This window comes from Homo sapiens, chromosome 6 (assembly GCF_000001405.40).
Source record: "Homo sapiens chromosome 6, GRCh38.p14 Primary Assembly".
Classification (NCBI taxonomy): domain Eukaryota; kingdom Metazoa; phylum Chordata; class Mammalia; order Primates; family Hominidae; genus Homo; species Homo sapiens.
In genome coordinates this window covers 30,563,768-30,591,722 of record NC_000006.12, presented here as the reverse complement: position 1 = coordinate 30,591,722, position 27,955 = coordinate 30,563,768, and the positions used below count along the sequence as shown (strand labels likewise).

Genomic DNA, 27,955 nt, shown 5'->3' with positions numbered 1-27,955 from the left:
TAAAATTAGCTGGGCCTGGTGGTGTGTGCCTGTAATCCCAGCTACTCGGGAGGCTGAGGCAGGAAAATTGCTTGAACCCAGGAGGTGGAGGCTGCAGTGAGCCAAGATCATGCCACTGCACTCCAGCCTGAGTGAAAGGGCAAGATTCTGTCAAAAAAAAAAAAAAAAAAAAAAAGGAAAGAGACCCATGTTCCAAGATAGAAGGTATGAATCACTTTGCTTTTTCCTTGCGTGAAGGGTTGGGGGAAAGGAATCCTATGATCCTTAAACAGCAAACACTGTCAGCAAGACTGCAAACAAGATCCATTTAGTGGGGAAGAGGGGACTATTAAAAGCTGCTAGAAAACTGAATAAAGCAAATCAAGACTGAGAACAGTTCCAACTCCCATCAATCTCCAAACAGTGACAGGTCGGCAGCAACTCCTTTCCTTTATTTCTTCCCCTTGTAAAGGGAAATTCAAGTTCAGCAGCATTCCTTTCCTGCCCCAAGTCCTCAACCAGACAAGAGGCTGCAGGCACCAAATCTTGGGCTGGATAATGGCAAAGGCCTCAGAAGCTCACCTCCAGCTCTGAGCTTCAACAGCTGTTTGTACCAGTGAGTCAGCATTAAATCCACCAGAAAAGAACAGCACCACCCAAAGACTGGGGGGCAGCTGGGCCTGAAGCTGTAGGGTAAATCAGAGGCAGGCTTCTGAGTGATGAGAGTCCTGAGACAATAGGCCACATAAACTTGGCTGGATGGAACCTCACAATAAGGTGGTCACCTCTTGTTTGTTTAGGGGGATGCCAAGGATAAGGCCAGCTCAGTTATATGAAGAGAAGCAGAACAAACAAGTCTTTCAGAGAAATGGATGCAATCAGAGTGGGATCCCGGTCACATCAAGGTCACACTCCACCTTCATGTGCCTGAATGGTTGCCAGGTCAGCTGCAGGCCAGAGGCAGTCTTCAGAGGAGGGGAGACCACAGAGGACTTCTAGGCCACACAAATATGTCTCTCGGGAGACTTCTGGGAAGGAAAGCTCACTCTCGGGGCCGGCTGACCATGACTTCACCCAGGGCCTCCAACACCTCCCGCTTGTAGTCTTCAAAGTCACCATCGATTTGGCTAACACTCTGCTCCTCCACCACCCACAGCTGGCAATTGGTTTCTGTGATGAGTCGGGCATCATGGCTGACAACGATCACAGCTTTGAAGAAAGATAGCAACAACAGAGGGCAGGAAGAAAGGAGAAAGAGGGGAATCAGAACATGAAATAAGGGAGTCCTAGGCCCTTCTGTAGTGAAGGACACTACAGCTTGGTCCCCATGGAGCAGGGATGAGGGCACACTCTCAGCTGACTTACCACCCTTGTATTCATTGATGGCCTCCCCTAGAGCATCAATAGACTCTATGTCCAGGTTATTGGTTGGCTCGTCCTACATAGGAGGAATTCCATGACTGAGCACTGCAACTCCCGTCTTCCATTACTGTTACCCTTATCCCTTTTCCCACAGCCCAGCTCACTCACCAAGATGAGGACATCAGGTTCCCGACAGGCCAGCTCAGCAAACACAACTCGCGCCTTCTGACCACCTGTAGCAAAGGAAGGGGAGGGCTGTCACACCTAGCACCTCACATTCTGAAGGCAAACCCTCAAGATGTGCCAGTTTGTGAGCTGAGGCTCCCTCATTCTCGGTTCCTCTAGGTACAGTTTGTAGACATGAATGATAAGGTGAAGGGCACCCTCCCTGGCCCCTGAAGTGGTACCAGAGAGTTTGCAGATCTGGATGGTGTGGGCGTGACTCTCCAGGCCGAAGCGGCCCAGGCACTTGCGGGCATCCTGGTAGGGCAGGTTGAAGCCCCGCTGCAGGTACTCAGTGGGCGTCTCCTCCATGCGCAGCTGCTCTGCATACTGCTGGTTGAAGAAGCCAATTTTCTGCCCGAGAAGAGAGGGAGGTGGTCGGTTAAAGTCACACTTCCTCCATCAGATTATCATTCCCTAAATCCCAATGCCAACTTACCAGCCGGTGGTTCTTTCTCATTTCCCCATGGGTCTGCAAGGGAAGACAAAGTAGTTAAGAGGAGGGCAAGGGAAAAAGGTGCTGCAGCTCCATACATCAACTTTTTTTTTTTTTTTTTGAGACGGAGTCTCGCTCTGTCCCCCAGGCTGGAGTGCAGTGGCGCGATCTCGGCTCACTGCAACCTCCACCTTCCGGGTTCACGCCATTCTCCTGCCTCAGCCTCCCCAGTAGCTGGGAATACAGGTGCCTGCCACCACACCCGGCTAATTTTTTGTATTTTTAGTAGAGACGGGATTTCACCATGTTAGCCAGGATGGTCTCGATCTCCTGACCTCGTCCATACACCAACTTTTCTGAAGGAGAGACAAACACCAGAAATGGGCCAGGGACAAGTATGCATAAGAAAAGGAATAGGGGCTGGGCACGGTGGCTCATGCCTGTAATCTCAGCACTTTGGGAGGCCAAGGAAGGCAGGTCAGGAGGCACTTAAGGTCAGGAGTTTGAGACCAGGCTGGCCAACATTGTGAAACCCTGTCTCTACTAAAAATACAATAATTAGCTGGGCATAGTGGGACATGCCTATAATCCCAGCTACTCAGGAGGCTGAGGCACAAGAATGGTTTTAACCCAGGAGGTGGAAGTTGCTGAGATCGCACCACTGCACTCCACCCTCGGGGACAGGGGAAGACTTTGTCTCAAAAAAGAAAAGGAACAGGGATGTTCCCCTAATATGACAAAGGCATGGTGAGCAAAGTAAAAGAGTTAAGGGACAAAAGGGGAGTTAAGCAAAATGGAGGACAAGAGGGACAAGCAGGAGGGACTAACCACAGCCAAAGAACACCTGCTCTCCATACAGCGAGACTCACGAATGGTACATCGTAAGGGCCTCATGTGGCAAGTTTAGTGTTTTGGGGAGAATCTAATAATACCTTTCTAAAGATCTAATCTCTGGATATGAGAAAATGGCCTCTCAACACTGCTAGAGAGAGCAGAAATGGCTACAAACTTTCTAACACACTAGATGGCAATATATTACAAAAGTTCAAATAAAATGGTAGAGTTTGCCGGGCGTGGTGGCTCACACCTGTAATCCCAGCACTCTGGGAGGCCGACGCAGGCAGATCATGAGGTCAGGAGATCAAGACCATCCTGGCTAACACGGTGAAACCATCTCTACTAAAAATACAAAAAATTAGCTGGGCGTGGTAGCACGCGCCTGTTGTCCCAGCTACTCGGGAGGCTAAGGCAGGAGAATCGCGTGAACCCAGGAGACGGAGGTTGCAGTGAGCCAAGACTGTGCCACTGCACTCCAGCCTGGGTGACAGAGTGAGACTCTGTCTCAAAAAAAAAAGGTAGACTCATATGAAATAAGTAATTGCATGGAAAAATGCTTGATATATTTGGAAAAATCTAGCTACACAACAACTCATATGACAGCCCATTTTTGTTAAAAATTATATGCACATTTGCAAAGAAAAAAGGAGAAAGATATCCACTAAAACATTAATACTGGTTATCTCAGCTGGGAGCGGTGGCTCACGCCTGTAATCCCAGCACTTTGGGAGGCTGAGGCGGGCGGATCACAAGGTCAGGAGTTCGAGACCAGCCTGACCAACATGGTGAAACCCTGTCTCTACTAAAAATACAAAAAGTAGCTGGGCATGGTGGGGCGTACCTATAATCCCAGCTATTCAGGAGGCTGAGGCAGGAGAATATCTTGAACCTGGGAGGTGGAGGTTGCAGTGGGCCAAGATCGCACCACTGCACTCCAGGCTGGGCGACAGTGAGACTCCGTCTCAAAACAAAATAACAAAAAAAAAAAACTGGTTATCTCCAGATTTTTCTCTTGACTTAAGCATTTTTTTTTTTTTTTTGACAGAGCCTCACTCTGTCACTTAGACTGGAGTGCAGTGGCACGACCTCGGCTAACTGGAACCTCTGCCCCCTGGACTCAAGCAATTCTCCTACCTCAGCCTCCCGAGTAGCTGGGACTACAGTCGTGCACCAACATACCCAGCTAATTTTTGTATTTTTAGTAGAGATGGGATTTCACCATGTTGCTCAGGCTGGTCTGTTTTTTTTTTTTAGACGGAGTTTTGCTCTTGTTGCCCAGGCTGGAGTGCAATAGCGCAATCTCAGCTCACTGCAACCTCTGCCTCCTGGGTTCAAGTGATTCTCCTGCCTCAGCCTCCCAAAATAGCTGGGATTACAGGCATGTGCAACCACGTCTGGCTAATTTTGTATTTTTAGTAGAGATGGGGTTTCTTCATGTTGGTCTCAAACTCCTGACCTCAGGTGATCTCCCACCTCGGCTTCCCAAAGTGTTGGGATTACAGGTGTGAGCCACCACACTGGGCTCAGGCTGGTTTTTAACTCCTAAGCTCAAGTGATCTGCCTGCCTCAGCCTCCCCCAAAGAGTTGGGATTATAGGCGTGGGCCACCACGCCAGGCCAATTTTTTTTTTTTTTTTTGAGATGGAGTCTCGCTCTGTTGCCCAGGCTGGAGTGCAATGGTGCAATCTCAGCTCACTGCAACCCCCGCCTCCCAGGTTCCAGCAATTCTGCCTCAGCCTCCTGAGTAGCTAGGATATAGGTGCGCGCCACCGCACACGGCTAATTTTTGTATTTTTAGTAGAGGCGGGGTTCACTATGTTGGCTAGGCTGGTCTGGAACTCTTGACCTTAGGTGATCCCTGCTGGGATTATAGGAGTGAGCTACTGTGCCTGGCCCGTTTATGCAATTTTTAATCGTTCTATAAAAGACATATATTTCTTGTATAACCAAAACACGTGGGTGTGCCCCCTAGTTCTATCTTAATTCTCTTAGCTCTCCCCCCTGAACTGATCTAAGCTCTTTCCTCCTCTACTGCCCCTCTTAGGGAAATGAATCATCTATCATGAGTTCTGTATTTAACTCTACATTCTCGAGAGGCTCCCTGATTCCAGCTTCTGGCAAAAGCAGCTGTGTCTTCACATTTCTCATGCTCTCCCTCCTTGGCTCCAGGACTCACCGGTGTCAGCTTGCCAGTCAGCAGCAGGAGTAGCGTACTCTTCCCCACACCATTAGGGCCCACAATGCAAACTGCAAGATGGAAGACAGGTGGTCAAAGAGGTCCCCAGAGACTCTCCCTGTGGCTCCTGCTACACATCCCTGAGGCAACCCCGCCAACTCACTCCTTGAATCCATGTCGATGCCAAAATCCAAGTTCTTAAAGAGTGGTTTCTGTCCCTGGTAGCCGAATGTCACACCTGAAAGCCACGAAAAGAAGCAATTTATATTCTTTTCAGTCCCTGCAAAGTCCCTCTCATGTGCTGGCCTTGGAGAACAGGAGCAATCTCAGCCTTGGTGGAGAATTTAGGGTGCACATACATGCTTCCGGTGCTTCCTGTGGAGCAGCAGAGGCCCGCGGCACTCACCATGCAGACCCAGCACTGGAGGGCTGAGTGGTGGGGGGTCTGGAAAAGTGAAGCGCACAGTGTACTCCTTAGGGCGCTTCAGGAGCTCAGGGGCCTCCTGGGATTCCTCATCTTGGTTTTTCCGTCGGCATTTCTGCTGCTTCCGAGTCAGGGCTTCCTTCGTTTGTTTTTCCTGGAGAGGAAGAGGAAAAAAGAGAAACCTGAGCCCTGCGCGGCAGTCCTTGAAATGTAGGCCAGCGTTCCAGAGTCTCCTTCTTCCTCCACTGCCAGGAGAGAACAGTGGCCCCCAGCCCAGAAGTCCCTCAGGTGCTCACCGCCTGCTTGGTGGACTTCCCGCCTGCCTTCAGCTCCTTCAGCTTTTTCTCTTGCTTCTCATACTGTTTCAGCAGTTCTTTCTGCTTCTGCTGGTACATCTTTTTGAAGGTCACTGGGGCAGAAGAGGGGACCAGGCATCAGTGGTTGCTCCTCTTCCCAGCAAAGGGACAACCAGGGACTGGTGGTGATGGGGTAGGCATCACTGTCTGGAATTCTGACAGGATTCAGTTTATCTAAATAGGCCCTCCCACTCAGGCCTCTTTTCGAGGTTCTATCTCTTCCCTGCATCCACACACAATCCTACTTACTGTAATTGCCCCTATAGTAGTGGAGCCGCTGGGCATCGAGGTGGATGATATCAGTGCAGACATCATCCAAGAAGCCCTGGTCATGGGAGACGATCAGCAAGGTCTTCCGCCAGCCCTGGAGGTAGCTGGGTTTCAGAGAACAGGGTGTAAGTGTCACAGTGGTCAAGTGAGAGAGAATTCAGAGGAAGCAGGCAGACAACGGGGGCTGGGAGGGAAAGGGGGGTCTGAATAGAGCTCCACTCACAGGCACAGTGGAGAAGGGCTAAAGGAAAACAGGGCAGGGAGGGAAGGGGAAGAAAGTGCAGAATGGGAACCAATGATGCAAAGGCCGTAACGCACTTATTAAGCCAGATGACAGCGTTGAGGTCCAGGTGGTTGGTGGGCTCATCCAGCATCAGCAGTGTGGGCTCCATGAACAGTGCCCTAGAGGGTGGGTAGCAGAGGGCAGGGTCAGGGAGAGAAAGATCCTTGCTCAGACAACCCCAGAGAAAACTCGGAGATAGAGCCTGAGACCATGAACACTCCTTCCCAAGCTCTCCTCAGAGAAGTTCTCGGGCAGGATACGGTTTAATTTTTTTGAGACAGGGTCTCGCCCTGTTGCCCAGGCTGTCGTGCAGTGGCACAATAAGGGCTCACTGTAGTCTAAATCTCCCAGGTCTAAGTGATACTTCTACTTCAGCCTCCAGAGTAGCTGTGACCACAGCGTGCGCCACCATATCCAGCTGATCTTTAAATTTTTTGTAGAGACAGGGTCTCCCTATGTTGCCCAGGCTAGGATATGTTTTCTTCCCCCTTTTGTGAAGATAGAGTCTCACTATATTGCCCAGGCTGGTCTCAAACTCCTGGGTTGAAGATAATCCTCCTGCCTCTGCCTTCCAAAGTGCTGGGATTACAGGCGTGACCCATTGCACCCAGCTGCAGGGTATGTTGATGAGAACTCACCACCAAGTAGGGAGATAAATAGAGAAAGACCCTAAGTTCTCACAACACAGATAGTAAGGAGGGAGAGGTAAGCCTTGAGCCTCCCTATTGGCCTTGGAAGAATGAGAAGGGAAAGAGGAAAAGGGCCCCGGTGGTCTGAGGCTGGAAGGGAGGGCAGTGAGGTGAATGGCCCACCTGGCCAGGGAGACACGCATGCGCCAGCCCCCTGAGAACTTCTGTGTGGGTCGATTCTGCATTTCAGGGTCAAAGCCCAGGCCAGCCAGGATCCGCCGTGCTTTGGCCTCTGCAGCTGCCGCCCCAGTGGCCCGCAATTCCTCATACACCTGGGAGGAGGGAGAAGAGGACACACGTCTGAGGGTCCCAGGAACCCCCAAGTCTTTGCCCGTGTCCCCTGCGCCATCTCCTCTACCTTCTCTAGCCTCTCAGCAGCTGTGTCATCCCCTTGTTCCAGCTGTCCCTGAAGCCGCCGCTCCTCTTCCAGCAGCTTCAATCGCTTGGTGTCAGCTCGAAGAACAGCCTGGACTGCTGGTGTCTCATCTGCTACCACCTCTGGGAGGCAGAGGGAGAACAGTCAGGCAGCCTCAAGAGCCAAGAGTCTCATCTTTCTTTCCCTTCAATTACATTTCTGTTTTGCCTGACCCTGCCCAGCTCTTTGTACTTGTTCCAAATAAAACACTCTCAAGTTCCTCATTGACCCTCCCCTCCTTTCCTTAGCATCCCTTTCCCGGTCTCCAGTCTCCCTCCACATCCCTTCCAACTCCATAGCCACAATTTCTTCTATTCTTGGCTGGCTGGCTTTTCTACCCAACTGCCCACCCCACCAAGCCCCTTTTCTCCCCAGTGGTCTCACCCTGCTCACACAGCAACACATCAATGTTGGGAGGGATGCTCAGGGCTCGGTTGGCAATGTGCTTGAGGAGTGTGGTCTTGCCCTTGCTGGGGAATAAAAGCTATTAGGACCTGGCCACCACTGAGAAATCTCTTCTTTTCCCTCCAGGCCCTTTTTTGCCTCCAGCTCCCTCCTCTTCTCACCCATTGGGTCCTACCAGCCCGTAGCGGCGGCCGGCTACAATGTACAGGTCTGCATTGACGAACAGCTCCTTGCCATGAGCGGAGATGCTGAACTTCTCCAGCTGCAGCCATCAGGAAAGAGGTGGCAGAGGGAAGGGATGATCACATGAAAATTCTCCCTTTGGGACAGGAGCGGCCACTTTCTCCCTGCAGGGAAGCCTCTGACAAACCGCTACCTCCAGCATAATCCCCTTCCTCTCCCCACAGCCGGTCCCCGCCCTGTTCGCTGCCTGTAATGGGAGCCCCATGCATCCTCAGCTAGTCTAGTCTGTCCCACACTATTTTCTGCCAAGGGTGGACCCCACTTCTACTGGTTTTTCTATCTTCTTGCTCAAGTTGGCAGAACCTAAGGTGTGGAAAATGCCTCCAATCTTTCTTCCCACTGAACTAACCCATTCACACACCACAGCCACTCAGGGAAGATGAGAGAACTGGCTCTTCCCTAGGTAAGTGGACTGGAAGGGGCCCCTTGAGACCTTACCTTGATGTCAGATGCATTTTCTAACATGGCTTGGCGGGAGGACATCTCCGCCTGGGACACGGAGAAGTCATTTTCAGCTGCATTGGCTGCTTTTAATGAAGCCACTTGGCGCTCATACTCCATCTGAGAAGGTAGGAAAAACTACATTTGAAGCCACAGTCTACCAGTTTCCCATCACCATGAAACAGCCCATGCTGGCTGGGCATGCTGGCTCACGCCTGTAATCCCAGCACTCTGGGAGGCTGAGGTAGGTGGATCTCTTGAGCTCAGGAGTTTGAGACCAGCCTGGCCAACATGCTAAAATACTGTCTCTACAAAAAATACAAAAATTAGCCAGGCATGGTGGTGCCACCCATAGTCTCAGCTATTCGGGAGGCTGAGGTGGGAGGATCACTTGAGCCTGGTAGGTTGAGGCTGCAGTGAACAGAGATCACGTCATTGCACTCCAGCCTGAGTAACAGTGTGAGACCCTGTCTCAAAAAATAAACAAAAAACCCCAAAGTGAAACAGCCCATGTCATCAGACATTGAGATAAGGTTCACAGAACACAATTATTTTCTTACTCCGATTGTTTTACTTGGAGTAGCCCCCAAACCTTTCCTTCGTGTCCCCAATCGCATGTCCCCTAGTTGAAGTATTTAAAAATCCCCTACTTTTGACCGCTAAGAACCAAGGTCTTACCTGTTTTTTCAGCTTTTTCTTCTCCTTTTTGCTAAGATGAGCATAGGGATCATCTGCCTTAGACTCTCCTCCTTCCTCCTCCTCTTCTTCCCCTTCTCCTTCTTCCTCTGAACCCTGTGAGAACCCGGGGATGGTCAAAACTAGGGACTCCTGGCTGGGCGCGGTGGCTCACGCCTGTAATCCCAGCACTTTGGGAAGCCAAAGCGGGCAGATCCCAAGGTCAGGAGATCAAGACCATCCTGGCTAACATGGTGAAACCCCATCTCTACTAAAAATACAAAAAATTAGCCGGACGTGGTGGCGGGCGCCTGTAGTCCCAGCTACTCGGGAGGCTGAGGCAGGAGAATGGTGTGAACCTGGGAGGAGGAGCTTGCAGTGAGCCGAGATCGTGCCACTGCACTCCAGCCTGGGTGACAAAGCAAGACTCCGTCTCAAAAAAAAAAACAACAAAAAAAAACTAGGGACTCCTTCTAGAACTCAGATTTCACATCATCTGCCCCCTGTCCCTGCCCCAGCTCTTTCCTTCACTACTCAGAGTCCTAAAATATCTTGGGATCCTCTCTCATTCTCATACCCAGCCCCTGGTCTCCCTGAGGTCCTTTATTAATTTCTGCTACCAGGAATGGTACAAGACAAATGGTATGAATGTGTATTTATGAAATGTGACAACGCGTTATGTCCCTATAAATGTAACTCCCAATACAATGTAACTGAAGGTGGAGTAAATGGATTTCAAGAGTTTCATTTGTATAAAATGAGTTTCTGTGGTTTCCTTGTTAACATGCAAAGAAAAGATCAGGTAGCCGTCCGGGCACGGTGGCTCATGTCTGTAATCCCAGCACTTTGGGAGGCCAAGATGGACAGATCACAAGGTCAGGAGATCAAGACCATCCTGGCTAACATGGTGAAATCCTGTCTCTACTAAAAACACAAAAAATCAGCCGGTCATGGTGGCACGTGCCTGTAGTCCCAGCTACTCGGGAGACTGAGGCAGAAGAATTGCTTGAACCCGGGAGGCAGAGGTTGCAGTGAGCTGAGATTGCGCCACCGCACTCCAGCCTGGGCAACGGAGTGAGACTCCATCTCAAAAAAAAAAAAAAAAAAAAAAAGATCAGGAAGCTCTAGTGCACAGTCAGAGGAATCCAGCAGAATCACAGAATTAGGAAGTGCCAGACGCATAGGGACCCTAGAGATCTCCGGACTCCTCCTTCTATCACACAAAGGAGACAAGTGAGACCCAAGGGGATGGGAAGATGTATTCAAGGTCACACAGCCAGTGAAGGCAGAGCCAGGACCCAGATCATCTGAGATAAATTCCAGGCCCTTTCTTCACTGGATTAGGTGTTGCAAACTACAGCCCATGGGCCAAGGCTGACCTGACATTTATTTTTATATAGCTCCTGAACTTTATAAAAATAATTTTTGTATTTTCAAAGAGTTGTTAAAAAAAAAAAAGAATATGTGATAGAGATTGTATGTGGCCTGCAAAGCCAAAAACATTTACTATATGGCCCTTTATAGAAAAAGTTTGCTGGCTGGCATGCTGGCTCACACCTGTAAACCCAGCATTTTGGGAGGCTGAGGCAGGAGGACTGCTTGAGCCCAGAAATTCAAGACCAGCCTGAGCAACATAGTGAGACCTCATCTCTATACTAAAAATAAAAAAATTAGCCAGGGGTAGTGGTGCACACTTGTAGTCCCAGCTACTCAGTAGGCTGAGGCAGGAGAATCTGTTGAGCCCAGGAGGTTGAGGCTTCAGTGAGCCGTGTTCACACCACTGCACTCCAGCCTGAGTGACAGAGTAAGATCCTGTGTAAACAAAAACAAAAACAAAAACAAACGAACCACCACCCCAACTACTCCCCCAAAAAAAGAAAAGAATAAAGGTTTGCTGGGATAATAACTATATCCCCAGATTCTAACTCTCCCATAAGGACCCTGGAAGCCCTAGTCCCTCATTCCACCTTGCCCCAACACCAAATACACACCTGCTCTGCCTTCTTGGCCTTCTCCTTCCCTTGTTTGGGAGGCTCCTTTTCCTTTATAATTTCTTCTTCTTTATCCTCCTCTTCATTGTCCAGAGCAGCGAATTTATTTTGAGGCTAATAGGGAAAAGACAGGTCTGATGAAATGTTTTTTTTTTTTTTCTTTTTTTTTTTTTGAGACGGAGTCTCGCTCTGTCACCCAGGCTGGAGTGCAGTGGCGCAATCTCGGCTCACTGCAAGCTCCACCTCCCGGGTTCACGCCATTCTCCTGCCTCAGCCTCCCGAGTAGCTGGGACTACAGGCGCCCGCCACCACGCCCGGCTAATTTTTTTTGTATTTTTAGTAGAGACGGGGTTTTACCGTGTTACCAGGATGGTCTCGATCTCCTGACCTCGTGATCCGCCCACCTCGGCCTCCCAAAGTGCTGGGATTACAGGCGTGAGCCACCGCGCCCAGCCCTGATGAAATGTTTTAATTCCTGGGCCCCAATACCTCCTCCTGCTAGTTACTCTCTCACCTTAGCCTTCCCTTTTGACTTCTCTTCCTTTCCCTTTTTGCCCTTGAGTGCAGGCTGCTGTTCCTCAGATACGGCCTGGAGGAGACACACATACACATTACACACATACATACAAATTATTGTGCTACTTTGCTGTGTAATAAGCATTTCTAGAGAGTCTACTGTGTTAACCATACACATGCTCCTCCATTTACGACAGGTTGCATCCCGATAAACCCACCAGAAACTTAAATAAAAAATGATAGTTCTTGGCCGGGCGTGGTGGCTCACACCTGTAATCCCAGCACTTTGGGAGGCCAAGGCAGGTGGATCACAAGGTCAAGAGATCGAGACCATCCTGGTCAACATGGTGAAACCCTGTCTCTACTAAAAACACAAAAATTAGCTGGGCGTGGTGGCACGTGCCTGTAATCTCAGCTACTCAGGAAGCTGAGGCAGGAGAATCACTTGAACCCGGGAGGCGGAGGTTGCAGTGAGCCAGGATTACGCCACTGCACTCCAGCCTGGCAACAGAGTGAGACTCCGTCTCAAAAAAAAAAAAAAAAAAAAATAGTTCCAACTTATGATGGGTTTATCTGGATATAATCCCATCATGAGTTGAGGAGTACCCTAAATGAGTATGACTTTCACACCATCATAAAGTAGAAAAATCGTACACCGAAGCAGAAGTTGGAGACCATCTGTATTGAGTGCTGCTGACGAAAAATGAGACCCAGAAAAACCCTACCCTCCAGCTTCAGACTAGATAGCGAAGAGATAACTAGGGAACGTCAGCAAGGCTAAGGATTATAAGTCAGGCAAGTGCGCCACCAGAGTGAGTGGCACTAGCACTGGAGGCTTTCTCAAGAGCTCAAATGGACATGGACTAAGATGCACACGCAGAAGAGTCACAAGTAGAAGAGCAAGGACCTGGGGCTTTGTTTCAGGTTCTGTGCTTAAAGCAACAGAATCACTGTAGATTTCTGAGTGATAAAAATGGCATGGTTTTTTTTGTTGTTTTTTTTTTGAGACTGAGTCTTGCTCTGTTGCCCAGGCTGGAGTGCAGTGCCTCAATCTCAGCTCACTGCAAATTCCACCTCCCAAGTTCAAGTGATTCTCCTGCCTCAGCCTTCCAAGTAGCTGGGATTACAGGCGCACGCCACCACGCCTGGCTAATTTTTGTATTTTTAGTAGAGATGAGGTTTCGCCATGTTGGTCAGGCTGGTCTCGATCTCTTGACCTCGTGATTCGCCCACCTCGGCCTCCCAAAGTGCTGGGATTACAGGCGTGACCCACTGTGCCCAGCCTGGGCATGTATTCTAAAAAGATGATTTTAACAGTATAAGTAAGACAGACCGAGAAGAGCTAGTTTAAAAGCGGGAAATTACTCCACCATGGCCAGAAGGTGCTAAATGGAGTGAGAGTGACTGATCGAGCCACCACTGTCACCTTATTGATCCGATTCTTCTCCGGCTTGGCAGGCTTAGGAGGATGTTTTTCTTCCTCCTCCTCTTCCTCACTCTGATCCTGAATCAGGGCTGCAAAAACATTACCACCCTAGAGAATGAAAGGGCCACAGAAGTCAGTAGGATGGTCAAGGTTGCATCCTTGGAGTCTCCGTTTACCACACAGATGGCTTACCTTGGTTTTCTTCCCTCCGCGGGGTTTTGGGGCGGGTACTGAAATGACAGGGGGAGAACATGAGATAGGAAAGAATTACAATGTCTGGCCCCCCAATTGAATCCAACTTGAAGATCAGGGTATGAGGTATCACTCTCCATGACTCATGGATTCCAGGTACCCATTCCCCCTCAGGTCATTTACCTTCATCCTCCTCATCACTGGTTGGCACTGAGAGCTTCTTAAGACGCTCCATGAGCTCTTTCTCTTCTCCATCATCATCCACATCCTTCTTCCGCCTGCCTTTTCGGGTATCTCGCTTTTTTTTTTGCTGCTGAGAGCAAAAGAACAGTGAGAAAATGAAGCCCAGGCCCCTGCTGTATTTCTGCCTCACAGAGGGTTCCCCATCAGCTGAATGGAGCAACATGGGCTGGAAAGGGGTTGGTGGAACCCAGATGCCTCCCAGGATTGGTGGGCCCTGTGGCACTTGTACCTGCTGTTGCTGTTGCTGCTGCTGCTGCTCCTTCTCCTTGAGCACTTTCTCTTCTTCCCCAGCCTGTTTATCTTCTACTGCCAGCTCTTCAAAGAACTATAAAGGGAGTTAAGCTACAGGTAAACATGTTTCCAAGAGCAATCCAAGCAGGCTGTGCTCTGCCACACATTGGCCCACTGGCCCTCCACTCCACCCTCACCTTACCTCCTGTCTCTCTCTTTTTTTTCTTTTTGTGGAGAATGGAGTGTGCAGGTCTCAAATTCCTGGGCTTAAGCTATCCTCCCACCTCTGCCTCCCTAAGCGCTGGGATTACAGGTGTAAGCCACCGTGCCCTGCCTATCTCCTCTCTTGACAAGATCTTTTCTCCTCCCTTGGACCTCCCACCTCCTTCACATGGCTATTTATTTAGCTTGGAAACATCCATAGTCATTTCTTATCCTCAACCCTCATTTTCTCACCGTTTTTTTGATCTTCTTGTCCTTCTTCCCTTTCTTCACCACTTTGTCTAGAAAGTTAAGCGGACATCGTGAATGCTTATCTGCAAATTCCAAAGCAGTCTGATCCCCCCTGCAAAGATCTCTGTAGCCTCTATCCTATTTTATTATTTTTCTAGCTTAACTATCACTCCTTAAATATTTGTACTGTCTCACAACTCCTGCAGAAATAATCATTCCCATCTCTATTCATTCATCCACTAAGTATCTACTAAACAGCTACCATGTGTCAGATATTGTGCTAGCGTAGGGGATCATAGCAATGAACAAGACAAATGTGGTCTCCTCTGGAGCTTGCAGGCTATAGGAAGAGAGATTTTTAAATAGGTAATTCCAGGTGTACTGAAGGTTCCAAAAGAAAAGGTAAAGCCTACTTGGTGGTGGGGGAGAGGCTGGCTTCATCTCTGGTGGCGGCCTCTCTAAGAAGATGGCATTTAAGCAAATAACTGAAGTAATGAGGAGTATGAGAAGTTAGTCAGACACATGGTGTAATTCCAGTGCTGTGCACAGGCCCAGCTGTGAGAAAGCACACACACTGAGAGACAGGGAAAGGTTTGGTATGGCTAAGCTTACAGACTGAGGGGAGAATGGTGCAAGGTAAGGCTGGAGTGAGGGCCTTGTAGCAAGGTTAAGGAATGGGGACTTTATTGGTATGATCACTTTCACACTTTAAAGTTTCACTCTGGCTTCAGAGTACAGCAAGAATCGGAGGGAATAAGCATAGTGGGAAATCCACTGGGGAGGCTGTCAGAGTAGTCTGGGTGGTGGTGACAAGCGGACATAAAGAAGAATTCATAGGATGGGGCTAGAGGTGGGGAATAAAGAGCACCCGGCCGGGCGCGGTGGCTCATGCCTGTAATCCCGGCACTTTGTGAGGCAGAGGCAGGCGGATCACTTGAGGTCAGGAGTTCAAGACTAGTCTGGTGAACATGGTGAAACCCAGTCTCTACTAAAAATACAAAAAATTAGCCAGGCATAGTGGCGGGCGCCTGTAATCCCAGCTACTCAGGAGGCTAAGACAGGAGAATTGCTTGAACCCAGGAGGCGGAGGTTGCAGTGAGCTGAGATCACGCTATTGTACTGCAGCCTGGGTGACAGAGCAAGACTCTATCTCAAAAAAAAAAAAAAAAAAAAAAAAAAAAAGAGCACTCAGAGATGACTCCTGTGTTTTTAGCTGGCAAAATTAGCTGGGCTAAGTGGTACCATTTATTAATTAAGGAGGCAGTGGAAGAGAAGGTCTTATAGGAAGGAAGAAGATATTATAAATTCAATTTGGGAGATATGTGTAGATACACACACATGTATACAACACACACACACCCTCCTTTTTTTTTTTTTTTTTTTAAGAGACAGGGTCTTGCTCTGTCACCCAGGCTGGAATGCAGTGGCATGATCATAACTCACTGTAACCTTAAATTCCTAGGCTTAGGTGATCCTCCCACTTTAGCCTCCTGAGTAGCTAGGACTACAGGCAAGCGCCACCATGCCTGCCTAATTAAAAAAATAATAATTTTTAGAGAGGAGGTCTCACTATGTTGCTCAGGCTAATCCTGAACCTCTGGCCTCAAGCAATTCTCCTGCCTCAGCTTCCCAAACTGTTGGAATTATAGGCCTGAGCCACTGTGCCTGGCCAGGGGGACACGTTGTTTGTAAAACCTATAGGCCATGTAAATAGAGTTATCTGGTAAGCAAATGAACACCTCAGTCTATGCCTTACTTGTTCTGCTTGAATATTATAGCACAAATCACATTGTGTCATATTTACCTGTCTGTGTGCTTTCATTCTAGAGAGTAACCTGAGAGACTGTTTAGCCTGTGTTCCCAGTAAAGCCAAAACAGATTCAACAGATTCTAGCTCTCCCCCTCTCCATCCTTGTTTCCCTGAAGGTAGAGGACCATGTCCAACTCCCTCCCCTACTGGAGGCAGCCTCATGATTTCCCTTCAGGCTTAGGCCTATTTATTATCTTCTCTTCCAAAACATCCCTTCCATTCACTGCTATCTAATTCTACCCTTAAGCATTTCAGTATTTAATATTAAAAAAAAAAAAATTGGTCGGGTGCGGCGGCTCAGGCCTGTAATCTCAGCACATTGGGAGGCCAAGGTGGGTGGATCACAAGGTCAGGAGATTGAGACCAGCTTGGCCAACATGGTGAAACCCCATCTCTACTAAAAATACAAAAATTAGCTGGGCGTGGCAGAGCACGCATGTAGTCCCAGCTACTTGGGAAGCTGAGGCAGGAGAATCGCTTGTACCTGGGAGGTGGAGGTTGCAGTGAGCCAAGATCGCGCCACTGCACTCCAGCCTGGGTGACACAGCGAGACTGTCTCAAAAAAAAAAAAAAAAAAGAAAAAAAGTCAATGGTATCCGCCATCTACTACATTAAAATATTCTCAGACTAGAATTCCATGTATTTCAAAGTAATCATTTATTCAGGAAAGTTTTATGGTGCATCTACTTCTCCAAAAAACTAGAGTTAACGAGAGACAATTCCAATAATTAAAGGCTTCACAGACTAAAATGGCCCTACCCTATCTTTTCTGTTTCCCTACCCACACCTCTGGTCTCGATACTGGCTTCTTTCTGTTCCTTTATGAAGTCCCAGGCACGCTTATGTCTGTCTTTGCTTAATCTGCATCCTCCATCCAGAACACATTTCAAAGTTTGGGGCCCTCCTCCTCCCCAAAAAACAAACCACAAAAAACAAACAAAAAAGTTAAAGAAAAAAAATCTGAGCCCAGTATTGGGTGACTAGTGTGAGAGTTGAAAAATTGTGCAGGATTAATAATAAAAGGCTTTATATGCTATTCCAAGGAGTTTAATCCTAAAGGCATTAGGAGGAAGGATCTACTGAAGTACCTAAGAAGGAAAAACCTGATCAGCTCACCTTATCAACACAGATGACTGACTCATCCCAGACACTAATTTCTCCCCAAGGACTAACACAGCCATACCATCTCTCCTTCCTTTAAATCTCTTTTGTGGCCAGGCACACTGGCTCACGCCTGTAATCCCAACATTTTGGGGACCAAGGTGGGAGGACTGGTTGAGGCCAGAGGTTCAAGATTAGCCTGGGCAACATAGCAAGACCTCATCTCTACAGAAAACAAAAAACAAAAACAAACAAAAAATAAGCCAGGCATGGCGGTGTGTGCCTGTAGTCCCAGCTACAAGGGAAGATGGCTTGAGCCTGCGATTGAGGCTGCAGTGAGCTGAGATCGCGCCACTGCACTCCAGCCTGGAGTGAGGCTCCGTCACAAAAAAAAAAAACCCACCAAAACCAAAAAAATCTTTTGTACTTTAATCACTCTTATCCACTTCATTATAGGGACAGGAAAAGCCTCCGAAGAGTTTCATTGTGAGAAAGTATAATCCCCAAGGAACTGAAAAAGATTAAGTGTGGCTAGAGATATACTGTGTCTTCTCTCCTTTCGTATATCGCTTAAGCTGCTCCTTCAAGGCAAGAAAGCAAGCCTTCTTTACCCTTATACCCCTCTCCCCCATTACTGTTTCGTATTCTTGTCCTCATTGGGTCTCAAAATCGTAATTCACAAGCTTCACTTTCTCTTCTCCCATACCTTTGAAACATACTGCAATCTGGTATCATCTCCGAATGAACACTACTTCTGCCAAAGTTGCCACTGAACCCTTAGCTCCTCAAACCACAAAGTATTTTTTGGTCCTTATTTTGCCTGACTTCTCTGCAGCATTCCATGCTGCCTACCTCCACACCTTTTTTATTCTCTTCTATCATTATTTAATTTCTGGGATCTTGCTCACTCCTGGTTTGCCTCCAGTTTCTCTGGCTGTTTGCCTTTCTCAGTCTCATCTCTTCAGCCTCCTTCCCCACCTGCTTCCTGCAATTGCTGAAGTTCTTTAGGGTTCCCACCTTTAACCTTCTTTTTGGTTCAATCTGCAAACACTCTCTAGGGGACTCTTCCATATCCAGCACTTCAACTCTACTTGCCTGTGTCTTTACTCCTAGTATAGTTGTCTCTCCACAGTGACTAAACAAACTCTCTTCTTGCCATTTCCTTTTAGAAATCCTCAGAAACGCCTAACTCAGCATTCAGAAGTTCACCTTATCTCTTTCCACTTCTTACTCTCCTGTCCATTACTGCTTTCAGTTAATAGTCTACTAGTCACTGGGTTACTTAAGTGTCAACCTTACTTCTCCCTTCATTTAATCAGTTCTCAGTTCCGATCAATGCCGCCTCCTTAGTAACTCTTTATTCTTCAGGCCTTGGCTTATCCCCTTACCACTTCTCACCTAGATCATGGCCAGAGCCCCCTAAATGGTCTCCCCGCCTCCATCTTGACCAGTTCAAGGCCATTCATTCTCCATTGCTCAGTGCTACAGGTGAACTGTTCATAATCATTCCTTATGCACTTCAATGGGCCTTCCTTCTTAATGTCTTTAGGATTAAACTCCTCGGAATGGCATCTAAAGCCTTTCATTATCTGTCTCCTGAGCATCTTTCTGACTTCATCACACTAGTCACCAGGCTCTAGTGGGACCAGTCAGGCTTGCCTACATCTCTACCTTCCACAAACTTCCTTGGCTTGGAATGCGCTTCCCCTTGCTAATTCACGATGATCTTTCAAGAATAAACTCTGGGGAGCAGATGTAGTGGCTCACGCCTGTAATCCCAGCACTTTTGGAGGCTGAGGCAGGAGAATTACTTGAGCCCAGGAGTTTGAGACCAGCCTAGGCAACATAGCCAGATCTTGTGTCTACAAAAAATTTTAAAAATAAGGTGTGGTGGTGCATGCCAGTAGTCTCAACTACTTGGGAGACTGAGGCAGGAAGATCCTTTAAACCCAGGAGGTGGAGGCTGCAGTGAGCCATGTTCATGCCACTGCACTCCAGCCTGGGTGATGGAGCTACAATGTGCCTCAAAAAAAAATACTCAGCTATTACATATTCTTGGGAGGCTTTGCTGACACTCCCTTACCTGTCTGAGTAGATGCTCCTCCTCTCTTCTACAGTCCCATAACATTCTTAAGCACCTTCATCATACTCTGACAACCACTGTCTGTCTGGTTAATGCTCTGACCCTTCACCATACTGGGTTGTCCCTTGAGGGAAAGTCTTATCTTTTATCTCTACATTCCCACTTCCTCCACACAGTACCTGGTATACAGTAGGCATCCAATAAGTGCTTTTAAAATTAGTTACTGTGTACCTACTGGGGTTAGTTGTGTCCATTTATGTCCCCCTTAAAACTGACTTCAACCCTGGGAGGATATCTTCATGTTTTTTTCCTTCCCCTCTCAAAGCACAGTATATAGAGTGCTTAATTAAAAACAAGCGCTTAACAAACTTTCGCTGCTTTTTAAGTAAACCTTAACCCTCATTCCAACATCAAAAATCTACACTCTTGCTCCAGTTGAGTGAGAGGGGTGTCTTAAGAAAGAAACCATGAAGGAGTCACCCTCTCTTGAGAAACAAGGGGGATCACAGGCTCCCAAGGTGTGTGTATGCGCGCGCAGGGGGAAGGGGAGGTCGAGGCAGGGCTCATATATTCCTGGTGGAATACAGTGTATGGTGGGGCGGATGTCCAAATTTTTTAAGCAAGGTTTTCCCATTTCTCCCCATCTCTCCCTCGGTGCCATATGCTCTTTCTTTTATCTCGCCCAGTCTCACTTAGGTCACGTGCGACATCTGGATCTCTTTCCTTTAACCCCGATTCCAAACCCACTCCTCCCCGGCAAACTCCTCCCGGGCCCACGGCACGCATGCGCAGTAACTCCCGCAGGGGCCCGGTCAGTCTCGTGCCCCATGACCCTCTCTTAAAACACGCGCAGTCTCCTCTCTCTTCCCCCTCTGCTCGTTTCTTCCTTGCCTACCAGCCTCACCTGATGGGCTCGTGCTCTCTCCGTCCCCGATCCACTCGGGCTCCGGCGGCTGCTGCTTGGGCGCCTTCGGCATCGCGGTGGCAGTTACAGCTACTGTGGCGGCGCCCGGTGCTATTTCCGCTTCCGGCGGCGGGGAACCCCGATGGGGCTGGCTCTCCAAGCTGGCGCGGCCAACCCCGCCCCCGGGCTGCGCACGTGCGAGCTTCGCCGTCATCTCGGGGGCGTGGCCCTGGTTCAGTGGAGGCGTGGCCTGCAATGACGGAGCGGGGCCGGCGTCCGCTTGCTCCAGTCGCGTAAACACATGGCGTTTACGACTGTCTGGGAAGCCTGACGCCGTGACCTCCCGACGCCGCGAGACTCAAGGAATGAACATAATAATTTCCTACTAGTATGAAGGAGTTGAGGCATACTGTTTTTTTGTTTGTTTTGTTTTTTGTTTTTTTAAAAAGCATATTCTAGTTTCTATCTGTAACTCGTTTCTAGTTCTGCCACCGCGATGCCGAAGGCGCCCAAGCAGCAGCTGCCGGAGCCCGAGTGGATCGGGGACGGAGAGAACACGAGCCCATCAGGTGAGGCTGGTAGGCAAGGAAGACACGAGAGGAAGGGGAAGAGAGAGGAGACTGCGCGTGTTTTAGGAGAGGGTCATGGGGCGCGAGACTGACTGGGTCATGGGCAGAAAAGACAGTGCAGACCAATGGCTAAGGGAGAGGTCTGATCGGTCCAGTGTTGAAATGTGTCACAAAATCCCGAAGTGTACAATTGTAAACAGGGAACTGGAGCCCAACATGCAGAAGTCACGGTGCAGTGGAGCTTCGGTTCATTTATTTTTTTTGGTAACAGCTTTACTGAGATATAATTGACATACAATAAACTGTACACAAAATAAAATGGCACCCAAAATAAACTGCAAAGTATCACTTAAATAAGTTTTGACCTGCATAAACCCAGTAAACTATCACCACAATCAAGACTTTGGTTCACTTCTAACTCTACCACTTAATATGGGAGCTTGAGCAAGGTGCTCCTGTAGTTCTGTCAGCTCTCAAACCACTACAATCATGCTTTTGTTGCCACCATTGTCTGAATTCACACTTGCCAAAGTCAACAGATCTGGGGCCATCCTACTCACTCTCCCATCAATGTTTGATAGACTTGGTCGCTCCCTCCCTCCTTTGTTTTCTTCAGGGACACTACTCTCTATAGGTTTCCTTTGCATCTAATGGGCTTCTCCTGAAGTCTAAATGTTGAAGTGCCTCAGGGCTAAATCTTTGACACTCTCCTTAATCTAGACTTATCACCTATCACCTCCTGACTTTAAATACCATCTATAACCAATGAAGATTCCCAAACTTCTCTTGCTGGCCCCCAACTTCTGCCCCGAGCTCCAGGCTCATGAATTCAACTGCTTATGGGACATCTTCTCTGAGATCTTTAATAAATCTCTCTCATACGTACAAAATGGAGCTCTTGTTCTTACTCCTAAAGCCTGTCTCTTCCAGGCTTCCCCATCAAGAAATTGCACCACAGGTCATTCAGTTATTTGGGCCAAAACTGAAAGGTCATCATCCTCTTTCTCCATTCCTCCTCCCCTAATCAATCCATCAGCCAGCTAAGTCTGCCTCATTTTTTCATTCATCTGTTCAACAAATATATTTATTGAGTGTATAGTATGTGCCAGGCACTCTTCTACGCTCTTGGGATACTACTGAATAAAATAAAGATCTCTGATTAGGTTTCCAGCAGGGGAGATGATCCTATAGATAAAAGAAAATATGGATCAAGTTTAAAAGTATCAAGAGGACAGATTTTAGTCTTAAATGAGGCCTCAGTAAAGTGAAATTCAAGCAAATCATTAAAGAAGATTAGTTTTGGCCACATGGATTTCCAGGAGAAGGGCCTTTCTAGCATAAGAAACAGCTGGAGTAAAGCCCTGTGACAGGAGTGTTCGGACATACATGGGGAACAAACAGGAAGGAGGCAAGAGGGGCTGGAGTGGCACGAGTGAGCCAGAGTTGTGGGAAAGGTGAAAAGAGAAGTAAAGCAGGGTCTGGATTGGGAAAGGTCTTTTAAATTATCTTAAGGATTTTGGCTTCTTCTGTTGATTTAAATGGAAGTCACTGCAGAGTTCTGAGCAGAGTGATGTGATCCAACCTACATTTTAAAAGGATGACCTGGGCTGGGGCGCGGTGGCTCATGCCTGTAATGCCAGCACTTTGGAAGTCCTAGATGGGTGGATCACGAGGTCAGGAGATTGAGACCATCCTGGCTAACATGGTGAAACCCCATCTCTACTAAAAATACAAAAAAGTTAGCTGGGCGAGGTGGCGGGCGCCTGTAGTCCCAGCTACTGGGGAGGCTGAGGTAGGAGAATGGCATGAACCCAGGAGGCAGAGCTTGCAGTGAGCCGAGATCCCGCCACTGCACTCCAGGTTGGGCGACAGAGCGAGACTCCGTCTCAAAAAAAAAAAAATAAAATAAAATAAATAAAAGGATGACCTGGCCAGGTGCAGTGGCTCACACCTGTAATGCCAGTACTTTGGGAGGCTGAGGCAGGAGAATTGCCTGAGCCCAGGGGTTTGTGACCAACCCAGGCAACATAGCGAGACCCCTTGTCTCCGTATATAATACAATTTTTTAATTTTTATTTTATTTTATTTTTTTGAGACAGAGTCTTGCTCTGTTGCCCAGGCTGGAGTGCAGTAGCGTGATCTCGGCTCCCTGCAACCTCTGCCTCCTGGGTTCAAGCAATTCTCCTGCCTCAGTCTCCTGAGTAGCTGGGATTACAAGCGTGCGTCACCATGCCTGGCTCATTTTTGTATTTTTAGTAGAGACGGGGTTTCACCATGTTGGTCAGGCTGGTCTCGGACTCCTGACCTCGTGATCCGCCTGCCTCGGCCTCCCAAAGTGCTGGGATTAGAGGCGTGAGCCACCATGCCTGGCCTATAACATTTTTTAAATTGTTAAATAAAAAGGATGACTCTGGAGGCTGTGCTGAGAACAACCTGGGCGGGAGGTGGGAGGGGGCAGGCAGCAAAGAATGGGCAGAAATGACAGAAGCAGGGAGATCTATTAGGAGGTGATGGTGACTCAGACTAGGGTGACAGCAGTGGAGGTGTGAAAAGGGCTGGTTTCTGAATGTATTTTGGAAAAGAGCCAACAAGTTTTGTTAATGGATTGGAGGTCATGTTTGACAAATAGAATTAAGGATGACTCCAATATTTCTGGCCTGAGTTAACTAGAAAGATGTAATTGCCATCAACTGAGACGAAAACATAACCCAAATTTAACCACTTCTCTCCACCTCTACCCTGACCAAGCCATCGTCTCTTCTCCCTGGACCACTGCACTGCGCTGGCCTCCTAACTGGTCTGCCTGCTGTCATTCTCATTCTCTAGTCTATCCTTCACACCTACAGTCAGAGGTGGTTTTAAAATGTAAATCCATGGGCCAATCGCGGTGGCTCACGCCTGTAATCCCAGCACTTTGGGAGGCTGAGGCGGGCGGATCAAAAGGTCAGGAGTTCAAGACCAGGCTGGCCAACATGGCGAAACCCTGTGTCTACTAAAAATACAAAAATTAGCCAGGCGTGGTGGTGGGCGCCTGTAGTCCCAGCTACTTGGGAGGCTGAGGCAGGAGAATCACTTGAACCCGGGAGGTGGAGGTTGCAGTGAGCTGAGATCATGCCACTGCACTCCAACCTGGGTGATGGAGCAAGACTCCGTCTCAAAAAGAAAAAAAAAAAAAGTAAATCCATTTGTTCAAAGTATAAAAATATTTAAAAAAGTATAAAATCCAGAATAAAATCCAAATGCTTTACCATAGTTTATAGGGCTCTGTACAATATGCCCTCTGTTAAACATCTTGATCCCATCTCCCACAGTCTAGCCACACTGGGCTTTTTTTTTTTTTTTTGAACCAGGATCTTGGTCTGTCATTCAAGCTGGAGTGTAGTGGTATAATCATAGCTCACTGCAACCTCAAAGGATCCTCCCACCTCAGCCTCCAACTAGCTAGGACTACAGGCACACGCCACCAGGCCTGGGTACTTTTTAAACATTTTTGCAGACACAGGGTCTCACCATGTTGCCCAGGCTGGTCTCAAACTTCTGAGCTCAAGCAGTGCTCCTGCCTCAGCCTCTGAGAGTGCTGGGACTGCAGGCATGAACCACCACGCCTGGCCTGGCCTTCTATTTTTACTTCAAACACCCCAGAGTCATTCCTGCATCAAGGCCTTTGCCTTTGCTGTTCCCTGTGCCTGGAACGCACTTTCTCTGTGTGTTCATATGGTTTGTTCCCTCGTTTAATTTTCTCTCTATGTGTTACCTCCTCAAAGCAGCTCTCTCTTTGTATCAACCTGTTCTCTTCCACCTGTCACTCTCTAACCTCTTTTTTCACTTTATTTTCATTTGAAGCATTTACTATTACTTAAAATTATATTACCTATGTATATTGTCTATCATCCTCAAAGCAATGTAAGCTCCATATGGGCAGGGATTTTGTCCTTTTTATTGATGTAGCTCCAGCTCCTAAAACAGTGCTTGCCCTACAGTAGGCACTAAAGTGTTCACTGAAAGTATGCAAAGCTTGGCCAGGTGCGGTGGCTCATGCCTATAATCCCAGCACTTTGGGAGGCCGAGGCAGGTAGATCACCTGAGGTCAGGAGTTCGAGACCGGCCTGGCCAACATGGTGAAACCCCATCTCTACTAAAATACAAAAAATTAGCCGGGTGTGGTGGTGGGCACCTGTAATTCCAGCTACTCGGGAGGCTGAGGCAGGAGAATCGCTTGAACCACCCCCTCTCCCCCCCCAAAAAAGTATGTGAAGCTTAAATAAGACAAAGACAATGTCTATAAAGAGCTTAGCAGGGTACCTGGCACTGAGCAAGCAGCCAGGTGACGCCACACTCTGAGATCTCTCCCTGCCTCTCCGTCATCCCTCCTTAGTCTCCTTGTCTGGCTTATCCTTGTCCTTCTTCACTTAGCAATTCAATGTCAGAGTTCCTCAAGGCTAAGTTCTGGGCCCTTCATCTACAGATTCCTCAGAGAGGTCTATCCTAGCCACCATGTCTTTTTTTTTTTTGGATATGGAGTCTCGCTCTGTTGCCCAGGGTGGAGTACAATGGTGCAATCTCGGCTAACTGCAACCTCTGCTTCCTGGGTTCAAGCCATTCTCCTGCCTCAGCCTCCCAAGTAGCTGGGATTATTTATAAATGCCCACCACCACGCCTCGCTAGTTGTTGTTATTTTAGTAGAGACAGGGTTTCACCATGTTGGCCAGGCTGGTCTCGAATTCCTGACCTCAGGCGATCCACCCGCCTCAGCCTCCCAGAGTACTGGGATTACAGGCGTGACCTACCGCGCCCGGCCACCATGTCTTGAGTAGCTCCCCAACTACTGTTTCTATTCAGTACCCCATTTATTTCCTTCATATGATTCATCTCAACCTGTAATTATATGTTTGCATACTTTTAAGAAAAACAGTCCCTGAGAATTGGGAACTGGCCTGACAATAACTGGCAGGCTTTGGTGTTGCTGGGAGCTGGCCTGTTGCCCATAGTTAGGCCATGGTACTCTTGTTGAACATAAACTATCTCACAGAAAATCAGTGTCAAACAAGGTCATCCTGTGTTTGTGATGAAATTAGACAAACTTCAAAATCTTGTCTAAGCACAAAAACACCACACAGTTCCCTGTCAGCTAAAATGTGTTGGCTTTTTTACCTTACAGCTTTAGCCATATTTCATTTCTCCCTCCTTCTAGATAAGATTAAGAAGTAGTCATCTTTCTGACAGCATCTAAGCCAGAACAATTTCCTGTTTCTTTTGAAATCACCAAACACAAACCCTAATCCTGTCATTCCTAGCCCCCTTTTAGGGAGATAACCTCTGTAGAATTAATAAACTCAACTTAAATGCTTGCCCATAAGTTGAGGAGTTATAAGTTAACTTTTAAGAAGTTTCTTCCGGCTGGGCGTGGTGGCTCACACCTGTAATCCCAGCACTTTGGGAGGCCGAGGCAAGCAGATCACCAGGTCAGGAGATCGAGACCATCCTGGCTAACACGGTGAAACCCCATCTCTACTAAAAACACAAAAAATTAGCTGGGCATGGTGGTGGGCGCCTGTAGTCCCAGCTACTCGGGAGGCTGAGGCAGGAGAATGGCGTGAACCTGGGAGGCGGAGCTTGCAGTGAGCCAAGATCATGCCACTGCACTCCAGCCTGGGCGACAGAGCTGAGACTCCGTCTCAAAAAAAAAAAAAAAAAAAAAAAGAAGTTTCTTCCCAGACAACTGGTGTTCTCAGCCCTTCCTCCATCCTGAGGCTTTGAACATGGATGAGGAAGCCAGAGCTTCACTTTGGACAGTGAATAGAAGCTTGTGGTTGTGAATCTGAAAGTTGGGGGTTGAGGTTCTGAATACTCAGGGACCTTGTAGTGGTGGCATTGTCACACATCTTGGATTGTTGATTGTCCACCTCTTGACCTGTGAGAGAAATAAACTTCTATCTTTTTAAAAATTATTTATTTTTATTTTTATTTTTTATTTATTTATTTTTGAGATGGAGTCTTGCGCTGTCGCCCATGCTGGAGTGCAGTGGTGCGATCTCGGCTCACTGCAAGCTCCGCCTCCTGGGTTCACGCCATTCTCCTGCGTCAGCCTCCCGAGTAGCTGGGACTACAGACGCCGGCCACCACGCCTGGCTAATTTTTTTTCTATTTTTAGTAGAGATGGGGTTTCACCATGTTAGCCAGGATGGTCTTGATCTCCTGACCTCGTGATCCACCCACCTTGGCCTCCCAAAGTGCTGGGATTACAGGCGTGAGCCACCGCGCCCAGCCATAAACTTCTATCTTAAGACTTCTTTTTAAATGGCAGTTACATAAGCCAGAACTACCTGGAGAAATCTGATACTTTTATTTTGACCTGTAATTTTCAAATGTCTACTTTTCTCCAACTCTACTACCCAAGTCTATGTCACCATCATGGCTCACTTGTACTACTGAAGTAGCCAGTAGCCTTCTAATTAACTTCCAGGTCCAAGGTGGGCCCTCTCCATACAAGCTGATTTTTTTTGAAAAGCCAGCCTAAGCCATGATACTCCTGTCTAAAATTCTTCAAAGGCTTCTGTTCTAAGAAAAGAGCCAAATCTTCATGTTTTCCAAGGCCCTGAGTGGTCTAACTCCTCTTTCTTCTGCATCATCTCCCACTGTCCCTAGGTTTCTTAGCTCCTCTTCCCCTAGGTCTTTTAGCGAAGACCTTTGCCTTGACTTCCCTCTCCCACCCCACCTCCTGTTTATCCTTTGGAGCTTGTCTCAGTTGCATCTCCTACCCTGACTCCCTTTATTACACAACTCTCTTTCACCCTCTTTTCTTCCCTGTCTTCTTCCCAGCACTTTTGACAGGTTTAACTTTACATGCTATTTGTGATTATGAGAAACCTGTCTTCCCTGTACATTTTAAATCCATTGGCTTTGGCTGTCAGTTATCTCTAGTGCTTGGTATATTGCCTGGCCCACAGGCATTCTGCAAATTGCTGCTGAAAGACTCCTTCATCATTACCACTCCATAAACACAAACTCTGCAAAGTAAAATATTTAAAAATAACTCCACGGACACCTGGCCTTTCCTTTTTCTTACAAAACTTTGCCCTTGAACATAAGGCAGCTTGTTCTGGTTGATGCCTACAGGCTAATGGAACCTCCATTGGTTTTTTTCAGCCTGGAAGAACCTTAAGCTTTGTCATTCCCCATCACTAGTGTGTATGAACTAAAGAATAAGCTGACTCCACCAGGTGA

General features: G+C 47.9%; 1 protein-coding gene and 1 non-coding gene across 3 annotated transcripts, besides 1 other annotated feature; both read right to left on the bottom strand.

Annotated features, from left to right (window-relative positions):
• ABCF1 (ATP binding cassette subfamily F member 1) lies at nt 201-20,281 on the bottom strand. 2 transcript variants are annotated; one of them, NM_001025091.2, is made up of 25 exons: nt 20,163-20,281; nt 14,268-14,314; nt 13,810-13,905; nt 13,521-13,647; nt 13,338-13,375; nt 13,146-13,253; nt 11,718-11,792; nt 11,204-11,317; nt 9,216-9,329; nt 8,535-8,657; nt 8,015-8,115; nt 7,833-7,918; nt 7,392-7,531; nt 7,157-7,305; nt 6,380-6,463; nt 6,041-6,165; nt 5,732-5,844; nt 5,418-5,589; nt 5,175-5,249; nt 5,012-5,082; nt 2,003-2,035; nt 1,749-1,917; nt 1,510-1,574; nt 1,345-1,417; nt 201-1,188 (listed from the first exon to the last, which is right to left on the bottom strand). In NM_001025091.2, exons 1-25 carry the CDS (start codon nt 20,233-20,235, stop codon nt 1,022-1,024), a joined length of 2,538 nt encoding a protein of 845 aa, NP_001020262.1. In that variant the 5' UTR covers nt 20,236-20,281; the 3' UTR covers nt 201-1,021. The 2 variants fall into 2 exon arrangements, with proteins under 2 accessions (NP_001020262.1, NP_001081.1); NM_001090.3 differs by lacking the exon at nt 9,216-9,329.
• MIR877 (microRNA 877) lies at nt 7,306-7,391 on the bottom strand. Its single transcript, NR_030615.1, has one exon. It is a non-coding gene; the product is annotated as a microRNA 877 (primary transcript).
• Nucleotides 20,100-20,661: an enhancer, noted in NCBI's record as "H3K27ac hESC enhancer chr6:30538839-30539400 (GRCh37/hg19 assembly coordinates)". NCBI's record gives its function as "activates a minimal SCP1, AML or CMV promoter by ChIP-STARR-seq in primed H9 embryonic stem cells {active_cell/tissue: H9 hESC(primed)}" and the evidence as "EXISTENCE:reporter gene assay evidence [ECO:0000049][PMID:30033119]".

Bases quoted from the DNA above. Each gene is read 5' to 3' on its own strand.
- ABCF1 (NM_001025091.2), bottom strand. From the start codon at position 20,235: ATGCCGAAGGCGCCCAAGCAGCAGCCGCCGGAGCCCGAGTGGATCGGG. The intron at 9,330-11,203 runs GTGTGTATTTGG...GGGTTCTCACAG, and splicing joins AGGCCAAGAAGGCAGAGCAG to GGTTCAGAGGAAGAAGGAGA. The intron at 1,918-2,002 runs GTAAGTTGGCAT...CTTCTCGGGCAG, and splicing joins TGAGAAAGAACCACCGGCTG to AAAATTGGCTTCTTCAACCA.